The sequence below is a fragment of the Homo sapiens genome, chromosome 12 (assembly GCF_000001405.40).
Source record: "Homo sapiens chromosome 12, GRCh38.p14 Primary Assembly".
NCBI lineage: Eukaryota > Metazoa > Chordata > Mammalia > Primates > Hominidae > Homo > Homo sapiens.
Genome location: NC_000012.12, coordinates 85,620,807 through 85,632,417, shown reverse-complemented (window position 1 = coordinate 85,632,417; position 11,611 = coordinate 85,620,807). Strand labels below are relative to the sequence as shown.

The window sequence follows — 11,611 nt, the reverse complement described above, 5'->3', positions numbered from 1 at the left end:
CGTTGGAGACAAAGAAGTATTTGGAATTGAGTCAATGCAGATGGTGTAAAAAAATGTGTTTTCTGGGATACACCCCATCATTTCAGAATGATGGATGGCTGAGGAGAAAAAGAGAACATCTCACAATGAAAAAAAAAAGAGATCTAAAGATCTAAAGCACAGGTTTTTCCCATATGCTGCTACCGATAGGCTCTTTGTTTCTTCTTGTTATCCTTATCATTTGAGGTTATTTTTCCTTTGCATAAAAAAGGAAGAAGGCATATTTTGTATCTGAGAATACTATAATACCACAGTGATGGGAGAGGTTGATTGATTATGAATTCATTCATATTGTTTGAAATGAAGAGTCTAACTAATGGTATGAAATACATGAGGTATTAAACACAGTTCCTACACCTAGCTTCAGAAATTAGTTGGACAAATAAAAGATGATGAAAAACTGGCTGAACTGCATTTTGGGTTTGAAAAAAACCAAGAGGTCTGGGTGGATAAGTTGGCTTTACAATTTCACTGTAAACTGAGTGATGTGGCAGCCAAAATTTCTAACGAATCCGTACATTGCATTAGCAAAATTAAAGTGACAGGGAAAGCAAAGCATTAATTCTCTGGCACTTTGCTCTACCCAGACCACATCTGGAACCAGGTGTTAATTTCTGAACCCTGATGACTGTTAATTTTCATACCCAGGAATAGAATCAGTTGCTAAGGACTATGGAAACCATGGGATATGAGGAGCAGTTGGAAAAAATTGTGCTTAATCTGGGAAAGAAGACATGCATACTAGCCACCTTAAAGTCTTTCAATGACATTGGCAAATAATTTCTATTTACATTGTATAGCTTTTGAATTTTGACTAATGCCAATTCAGGAAAAATGCAGGGAAGATGTTGGGTTGATATCAGGGAATTTTTTCTTTCTTTTTTTTTTTTTTTGAGATGGGGTTTCTCTCTTGTCACCCAGGCTGGAGTGCAATGGCATGATCTCAGCTCACCACAACCTCTGCCTCCTGGATTCAAGCAATTCTCCTGCCTCAGCCTCCAGAGTAGCTGGGATGACAGGCATGTGCCACCATGCCCGGCTAATTTTGTATTTTTAGTAGAGATGGGGTTTCTCCATGTTGGTCACATTGTTCTCGAACTCCTGAAGTCAGGTGATCCGCCCACCTCAGTCTCCCAAAGTGCTGGGATTACAGGCATGATCCACCATGCACGGCCAGGGAAATCTTTTTTACAGCTTGAGATCTCCATCAATAGATGGACACTTCATGAAATAATTGTAAGTCACAAAAGATATTCTAGATAAATGTATCTGGATACTCATCATGAGTATATCTGACTCAACATGTGTTTGAGTCAGTTTATAGTGGTTATGAAAGCTGATTATTAAATAATCAAGAATTTTTTCAGTTGGTTTGGTTGCTTAAAATCACCAAGGGGTGGGTGAATACACACTAGAGAAGCCGGCAAATACTCCAAATCAGGATTTTTTTTTTAATTGGGAGAGCCAATTTGCTAGCACACCACTGGATTTTATAGATGACAGGTACAATGGCAAGAGATTTCATTCTCCCAAATCTGAATGCCTGTGAATGTATACATATGCAGCAGAATACAAACTGAATTTTTATTTTTAGTAGAGATGGGGTTTCACCGTGTTAGCCAGGATGGTCTCGATCTCCTGATCTCGTGATCTGCCCACCTCAGCCTCCCAAAGTGCTAGGATTACAGGCGTGAGCCACCGCTCCCAGCCTAAACTGAATTTTTAAAAAGAGGGATGTAATATGTTTAGTAAAGTCAGGAAAGTTTATGAAGGAGGTTGGAGGTAAAATGGCAAAAATTTAAAAAAGAATAAATACCAGGGAGTGGATTATATTCTATGACAATAGGAAAAGAAACAAACAAACAAAACAAAACAAACTAAGGATAATTTTTTTTTTTTTTTTGAGACGGAGTCTCACTCTGTCGCCCAGGCTGGAGTGAAGTGGCGTGATCTCTGCTGACTGCAACCTTCTCCTCCCAGGTTCAAGCGATTCTCATGTCTCAGCCTCCTCAGTAGCTGGGATTACGAGCGTGTGTCACCATGCCCAGCTAATTTTTTTGTATTTTTAGTACAGACAGGGTTTCACCATGTTGGTCAGGCTGTTCTCAAATTCCTGACCTCAAATGATCTGCCCACCTTGGCCTCTCAAAATGCTAGGATTACAGGTGTGAGCCACTGTGCCTGGCCAAATTATTTTTAATTAAGGCATTTGTGAGATATTTTCATTGTTGAAAGAAAAGTATAGTATCTTAAGAATGTCTGTTCCTTTTCCTATTAGAGATAGATATCCTAAGGAACAAATGAATGAATTTTATATCCAGAAATTGCTAAATGTATCAACTACAAATTTTGATCCTAAGAAATTACACTGCTTTTCAAAAAGGCAAATACATTTTCAATGTGTCATTCACAGTTAGTTGTAAATGCTACGTGAGATTGTTGCTTTCTGTAACATGAATTTTTATTCTTCATTCTATAATTTAGGAATGGGATAATTATTTCCCCATTTAATCACACACATAAGTTCCCTTAATTTCAGAGGTATTTAAGATTCTTTTCATATGGGTGGCTCTTTTGATATCTACTTAATTAGCCCCCAGCTTGGATGTTTTTGCTGAAATTTGCCACATTACATGTTCTATAAAAGCATAGCTCTTGTAATTTTTCATGTTATAAATTAACCATCACCCATTTCAAAGTCTAATAAGTTCTGAAATTAAAAAAATAATAAATCCAAAATGTCTTTAATTGTTATGTGAACTTTTAGTAAAGTTTTATAGATATTTCATCTCAAAGAGGGAAGGGAAATTTTTCAATTTTAAAAATGTCTTCCCTTCATTTCAATGTCATTAAAAAAGAAATAAAAACACAAATTTCATTCCATATTTATCTCTTCTTTCTTCGAGTGTATGTAATACTATGTGTGTGCTCCTGGTATGGTAATAATCACATTATGACTATTTTTATATTAAATAAAATTCTACTATTCATTACATCAAGATTAACAACAAAATCTGTGTCTCATTCATTTTCATGTGCACCCAAAGGCTCAAAGGTGCATGAAAACTGCACAATTTCATACACAAAGTACATATTAAATATATGTTTTTGAATGAAGGAATTAGTTTAGTCATTTTCCTGTTAAATAACATAAGCAACATGCTGCTTTCAGTGGATATATCCATAAATGACAAAAGCCAAGCTCTATTACTCCCATAGTCCCTTTGAGGTATTGCTTTTCTACAGTCTTCATTCAAAGTATTGATGTAAAACTTCTAGATTCATGTTGTCATAATTTTTTTATAGGATGAAATTTTGAAGGATCAAATATTATATTTAATAAAATCTAAAATAAATATATTTTCAACCATTGTGGAAGACAGTGTGGCAATTCCTCAAGGATCTAGAACCGGAAATACCATTTGACCCAGCAATCCATTACTGGGTATATACCCAAAGGATTGTAAATCATTCTACTATAAAGATACATGCACATGTATGTTTATTGTGGCACTGTTCACAATAGCAAAGATTTGGAACCAACCCAAATGCCCATCGATGATAGACTGGATAAAGAAAATGTGGCACATATACACCAAGGAATACTATGCAGCCATAAAAAAGGATGAGTTCATGTCCTTCGCAGGGACATGGATTAAGCTAGAAACCATCATTCTCAGCACACTAACAGAAGAACAGAAAACCAAACACTGCATGTTCTCACCCATAAGTGGGAGTTGAACAATGAGAACACATGGACACAGGGAGAGGAATATCACACATCAGGGCCTGTCTGAGGGTGGGGAGATAAGGGAAGGATAGCACTGGGAGAGATACCTAATGTAGATAACAGGTTGATGGGTGCAGCAAACCGCCATGGCAGGTGTATACCTATGTAACAAACCTGCACATTCTGCACATGTATCCCAGAACCTAAAGCATAATAAAAAAATTAAAAAATCTAAAATAAATATATTTATAATATTCTACCAAAAGTAACTTTCTATGCAAATAATATACACATATACATTATATGTGTAGCTGAGTGTATGTGTATATATAATTATACAGACATATATGCACAAATATTTATGTCTATACATACATATATTTTAAAATATATTTTATATATATCTATAGATAGATATATACATGGATATCTTCAACAAATATTTAAGCAGTGAATAAATGCTTGTCCTAACAAATGTTCATTTTTTTGCTCAACAAATTCATTTTTGTATGTTATATGCAAATATATATGTACACACACATATATGAGAAATCTCTGCCCTAGCAGGGCTTATGTTATAGTAGAGGAGATAGTCATTGAAAAATAAATATACTTTAATATTTCATGTAAGAAAGTAGTATTCACTATAAAAGACAAGAATAATAAAGGGGCAAGGTAAAAACAAGGATACCAGTTTTATAGCTATTTCAGATGTTAATTTGGACCAAGGAGAAAAGTTAGAATCCATATATATTTTTGGTGGTTGAGTCAGCAGGACTTCCTGGATGTGAAATATGAGAAAATGAGTGGGGTTGTGGATGATGTTAAGGTTTTGGCCCAGAACAACTATGTAAATTGATACTGTTACTACCAATTGAGATGTGGAGAGCTGTGCATGTAGCAAGTCTCAGAAGGAGGTGAATCAAGAGCATAAATTAGTTCAAAATAGATACGATCAAACATAAGCCCCTTTAGGCAAGTAAAATGATTCATAGATTTGAAACCGTAGAATGAATGTGAATAAGAGCTAACAGACTTTGTTCTAGTGGAATTGAAAATTAGTGGTGTTCTTCTTTGTTACCACAAAATAGTAATTTCATATATTATGTTAATTTACATAAATTATGATATTTGACAATCTCTACGTATTTTACTAAACAATTTCACACATGCAGTTAAGAAGTTATCCTTTTTATTGTATAAAATTCTGAGGAAAAACATTCCTCAAGAATTGACAAATAATTTTGTGCTGTTGGAAGATTCATTGTGCCTAACATTTATGCTCTTTCCAACTTCTGTTGGCTTACTAGATTTGTGTGGGCTATGAATCCTCCCCACTGGATAATAAAATGTAATTTATTTTTATTTTTATTGAGTAGAATTTATTATTTTATTCACCCAAATTGGAATTAAACTGACATTTACATGCCAATATAAAATGACTTGTGTAGGCCAGGTGTGATGGCTCACATCTGTAATCCCAGCACTTTGTGAGGCCAAGGTGGGAGGATTGCTTCAGCCCAGGATTTCAAGACCAGGCCTAGCATTATAGCAAAACTCTATCTCTACCAAAAAAAAAAATAAATAAATAAAAATTAGCCAGGCATGGTATCATGTGCCTGTAGTCCCAGCTACTCAGAAGACTGAGGTGGGAGGATTGCTTGAGCCTGGGAGGTCGAGGCTGCAGTAAGCCAAGTTCACACCATTGCCCCTCAGCCTGGGAAACAGAGTGAGACACTGTCTCAAAAAAACAAATAAATGAATAACTTGTGCAAACCAATTTCATACCTAGTATAAAGAATCTTCTTAAACTACTAAAGGGATCAAATGTTTCCCACAGACACTGCAGTACACAACTATATACAGGTGAAAAACTGTATCTCATTTTAAGCATGGCAAGGATACAAAAATAAACACCCCATGATTCCAACCCCCAACAATTAACAGTAGAGGAGATTAGGCAGTCTAGAGGAAACCCAAGGAAGACTGTACTAAGAGCTTAATTGGAAAAATAACTTTTCTTGGGGGTGAGAGGAAGTGACTAATTCTGACAAAGTGATTGCAACAGCAGAGGGTAGCCCAGATAAGGTTGGGATTAGTCATGATAATAACTTCACTTTATTAAAATTATATTTAGGATTAAATTTCTTCTAGGCATTCATTCTTGTTTGACTTTCTATATTACTTATAGAACCAATTTATTGAACTAGTTAGACTAGGTTAGGTACAGGCAGAATGCAGCTGTATTTTTTTTCACCTCTACTTTTTGAATTTTATCTGAAGATGTTTTTTCTTTTTCCTAATGAAGTTGGATAGATTCCACAGCTTTTAGAAAATTTTCAAATAGCAAAAAAACCAGGTCATTCTCTATAAAAATACACACCATTATCTAATGGAAAACTTCTCTCCTACTTCAGTTTACATCTGTCACATGCTATACTGGGGGAGAAAATGCAGGGTTGACAATATTTTTTCACTTGATATGCTTTTTATCTAATTCTCTGGCAGTTCTTACCTCATATTTTGCTCTGTATTTACATTTCTTACCTCATATTTCTGATCTCTGCAGTGTCAAGTACAGGAGAGCAGAGAAGTGGTACAGGGGCAAAAAGGCCAGATGTGACGGGTTCAGTTGTAACTTAGTATCAGGCCTTCATGTTGGATGCCGGTTTTTTTTCTTCCAGCATGCTTTGTGGTTTAATTGGTAAAAGGCAATGTTTATTATGGAGATGAAGCTTATATGAAGGGCTCGGAAGAGCTGGTAGAGTCAATTCCCAACGCTGTATTCAGTGGCTTTATCACGGTAGCTTGAAACCATACGTTGGAAATACTTATATCATGGAAATTAGAAAATGATACAAATTAGGGCTTTAAATATTTTTTGGAGGAATGGGTTAGATATCAATGTCTAATCACATTTTCTTGGGCATTTCTTATAGGAATAAGGATAAGTTATAGGTTAATGCTGAAGGGGCAGTTTTTTAACTACTCCATTATAAGTGTTTTTCACATTGTTTAGATCAATGCTGTCCAACAGAACTTTCTACAATGAAGGAAATATTCTATATTACACTGTTCAATATGAGAAACATTAGTCAAACATGACTATTGTGCACTTCAGATGTGACTAGTACAATTGGAGGACTTAATTTTTAATTTTACTTCATTTTAATGCTTTTACATTTGAACTTAAATGGATGCGTGTGACCAGTGACTACAGTATTACACGGTGCAGGTCTAGAGGACCTCTAAGTCTTCTTTAGGTGGCCTCTCAACCTTCTTTATCATGGTAGGAACTTGACACCTATTGTTTTGTCTAGCCTCTTGGGGCCTTGGCTGAAACTGAGAAAACAGAAAGTCACACTTAACTATATAGTTGGAAAGGAAAACTCAATGACATATATCAACTATGAAATTTATTAATCAGAAATTACTTTTATTCAGTTAGAATAAATTAGGTTTAAGAGTGTTGCAAATTGAAATTCATATATAAAGAATCATGTTAATATGATTCTAAGAATAAAAAGAAAATGCATTGAGTGAATTTTGTTTGGGCAGTCAACATAACGACAAAAGGTATAAGCCATGTCCTGCTCTCAAAGAACCTTAGATTCAGTATCTAAATTGAAACAGAACATAAAAGTTCTTATCTATGAAAATTCTACTCTACTATTGTAAATTTACATATTCTTTTGTGAGAGCATGGTAATTATACCTATGAAACTTGATATGCATTTCCATTTGGCAGTGGAGCATTATGAAAAGGATGAATTTGGGAGTTACGTAGGCTTTGGTTGGAATCCGTTTCTACCTACTGACTGTGTAATCACAGGCAAGTCATTAAACTCTCTGAATTTTGGTTTCCTCATCTGAAAAATGGACCCAATAAAAAGAACCTTTTAGAGTTGCGTTAAATAGATGATGCAGTGCTATATATAATGCCTGGAACATAATTAGCATTAAAGAGGTTTTAGAACACTTTATGAACTCTACACAGTTTGTTTGGTTTTTTTTTGGCTATAACTTTTCAAAAATTGTTTTTATTTTCTCACCTATTCTGTGAAATAAATATCAAAAATTTTGGCCTTTAAATACTATCAGCTTGCAGAAATCCAAGTAATTAAAATGAACAAAAAGCACAACTATAAGAAAGAATTTACATTCATCCATTTTTATAGGGTAGACTCATCCTTTATCATGAGTGAACTCTTACAGTTGTATTTTGGCTTGTTTTTTATTGCTAGCCTTTTTGTCACCCAATATCATCTTCTTAATGATATAGAAAAAGTGACTTTGTTAAAAACCGTTTTATCACTTTAAACAAGTCTACAATCTGAACTGCCCCCCATTAGTTATTATAACTAATAATCACTCTTTAGTTTTTCATCAAAATTTACTCAACTAACTTTCTCCCTTGTACCCTATAACCCTTCAAATACTTCTTGTGATTTAGCCAAGATTCTAAAGTTCAGTGATAGAAGGTCAACCCAACTCACTTAAGCTAAATTTATTGTCTCATACAAACAAATCACTGGAAAGACATCAGTAAGCTGGCATTATACAAGGTTGAATTGTGGCTTTCAAAATGCTATTGAAACTCTACTCTCATTGTTTTTTTCCTTTCTCCCACTTTGCCTCACATAGTGAAAGACATGGTGCTTAGCAGCTCTGGGCTCTTATTCTAACAGTTTCATGACTTTAGAAAAAAGGACCTTCTCTGTCACATGTCCAGTTTTATAAATATCAGGGTAAAGATCTGGTTTGTCTTCCTTGTATCATGCGCCTATCATCACTATAGCCACGGGAGAAAGATATTAGAATTGGCCAAGCTTGGGTCATTTGGAGTCAGGGTGGAAAGAAGAATGGTGTCTTTACTAGATGAAAGGAAAAGAGAAGAGAATGAAGTACCTGGTAAACTGTATTATAAACACTGTAGACACCCTATCAAATAAACTCTTTCCACCTTAATAAAGCTAGTTTTCCTAGGCTTAATAGCATGTGATCATTTAATCAACTGTAAATGTTTTTCTCTACTTTTATCAAGCAATTCAGATTCATCATTTTGAAAACCAAGCACAACACTGACTTTCAAAAAGTTTTTCTTTAATCATTCCTTTATTTGTGTTTATTCTGCACCAACTCTAACTATATTGAACTCTATTGAAGAAGGTGGAAATTGGTGTTAGTAGATCTGGATCAGAATCCCACCATGTCATTATTTACTTTTGTGATATTTGGCAAATTCCATGCATACCTTTAAATTTAATTTGAAGACAATCAGGATTACAGTTTAAAATGTAAGCAATGCTAACATTATTTTAGAAAAGCCATCATCCCCTTCGATTCCATTTCCTGATACTTTGCATGTGTCTTTTTTTCCCTCTTCTTAACTTTTTGTTAAGTTTTTCAGACCATCTCTTTATCTCTGGTCTTCTAATATGACATAATGAAGTGCCATGATTTGTGTGTGTGTGTGTGTTGTTGTTGTTGTTGTTGTTTTAATTCATGTGCTATCTATGGAGTCTTTTAATTGAGAAACTAATATTTCACAGTTCTGGGAAATTTTCTTTTACTACCTACTTGATAATTAATGCATCTTTCCTTCTTCATGCCTGACCCTTCAATTTCTCTGTTTTCTTATTCTGGATTTCCTAGCATTCAGATATTTAACTTTCATGATTGTCCTTAAACATTTCTTATCTCTTAATATCCATGAATTTTCCTTTTAGTGTTACTTTCTGGGAAATTTCTCGAACTTTTTTTTTTCTACTGCATACATATATGTATATATAAAAGTATATTGCATATAAATATCCAAAAATATGTGTATTTAATTTTGCTACCAGATTCTTGATTTTTGTAAGAACATATTCTTGTTCTCTAAATAATCTTTATTTTTTTAAAAGCAGAATTATATTCTTTTATTTCTCTAAATATAGTAATAGATTTTGTGATGTTTTCCTCTCTTATTACTTTGCCTCTTTTTTCTACTTTTTTTTTTTTTTTTGGTTGTCATTTTGCCCCTTATATTAGCACTTTTGTTCAACTGCCAATGGGTTGGCCATTCATATTTAACTCTCAAACATGCAACTGAAATTTCAGTGTGTAGGAACAGGGCATTTCACCCAGTGAGTTTCACTATCCAGTGACTATCGGTCAAGCTGTCTTTGTAGCTATTTGGGAGACCAAATTTCAGGACCTATGGCTATTTCTCTTGTGGTTCTCAGCGTATCAAGAGAATAATGATCCAATTTCTGCTTTCCATGTGAACCTAGCTGTCAGTGTTTCAGAGTTCAAAGGAGATGGCAACGACAGTTTTCAATAAGATGATTTTCACTTAATCCCCATTTCCCATTCTTGCTATATTTCCTTAAATCTGCTCTACCCTGCTTTCACCATTTTTGTTGTTCCAGATTCTGAGACTGCTCTAGGATGAATTTTAGACTGTGCTGCTTCGGTTATTGTGAAAGTGAACCTTCTGTTTCTTGCCACAGCCATGTAAAAACGTTCATCTTTCTGTATGGAAAAGGAAAAGAATATGTAGAATATAACTGCTTCTAAGACACACTCTCAGGCCTTCTCTATTCATCCCACCCCTGTCCTCATCTTCACAGGTTCCTCATGTTTACAGTTTCTGACACTTTCTGATGTTTTGTGGCTTCAGTCTTCTCACTTCATGTTTATTTCCTCATCTAAACAGGCTTCAGTTTTCTCTTCTCTATTAAGTTATTAAGTCAGTTAATGGGTCGCTCAGGGACCAACTGGAAAAAAACATGAACCACACAAGTTATATCAAGCAAAGAAAATTAGACTCAAATAATTGATTACAAAGTTGGATATAATTACCACCCCCTCTAGGGCTTAAGGAACAAAAGAGAAGTGATGGGGTTTTCAGAGCCTAGAGGAACAGAGGAGAGTCCTCACAGAACTGGGGTTCACAATGTAAGCGTAGTTGCTGCTGGTACCTCTGCAGGGACATGAGGCAGCTAGCTCTGAGAGTCCTGAAAGAAGCTAACATTTCAAACCAAAAGGCCAGGTGGGGCAGGGGAACTGTCCAAGAAAACAAGAGCTGATCAGTAGCTAAATAGATAAAAACAGATTTTATTTGGGACCATTGCAACAGGGAAAATAATCTCAAGGTAGAACTGGGCTCAATTCTGAATATAACAAGCAAGATAAAGTGGAAATTTACAGACAGAAATGGGGTGAGGAGCAGTGGATAGAACATCACTAAGAAGAAACAGCAGGGGTAAAAGGAGATTCTAGCTGTTTGGACCTGACATAGCTCTTGATGAAGACAAGCCAGGGTGATCTGACATCGCCTGTGGGATGGTAGGGGGTGGGGAAATTTGTCAGATATTATATTGAGGATGATCAGTCATTGAAGGTGAGGGATTCTCGCTAAACCAGCTTAGCAGGATTCTTGCTAAAATTGAGTGATACAAGACAGACACAGAAGTCCAAAAGTTGTGGCCTAGTTGGCAAGAAGCTTCAGAGGAGTCTGACTAAAGTTTGGTCAGGGTAAGAATCTTTATCAGAACACAAAGAAACTCTTGTTGTCTGATCTCCCTTTAGTCCCCCCTATTGAGAGACTCTGACAAGAAGCCAGCCAGCAAGGATTTCTGAGAAATGGAGTTCAGAGACCCATGTCCAACATCACAAAGAAGGATGGATTTGAGCTAAGAGCATAGATGAATGATCTATACAGTAACCATACCTTCGCTCACTTTCCATCTTCCAAAATTAGGTTGCCAGCCCTCCTGTGGGGTTATCTACCATTTGTTTGGACTCTTTCTGTGGATTTATTCTTGTTTTATTCCTCTAATTTTAGTTGAGTTAGAG

At 35.3% G+C, this 11,611-nt stretch overlaps 1 annotated feature.

Annotated features, from left to right (window-relative positions):
• Positions 5,461-6,660: an enhancer, noted in NCBI's record as "MED14-independent group 3 enhancer chr12:86019536-86020735 (GRCh37/hg19 assembly coordinates)". NCBI's record gives its function as "activates an origin of replication core promoter dependent on BRD2, BRD4, P300/CBP and CDK7 cofactors, and independent of MED14, by STARR-seq in HCT116 cells {active_cell/tissue: HCT116}" and the evidence as "EXISTENCE:reporter gene assay evidence [ECO:0000049][PMID:35650434]".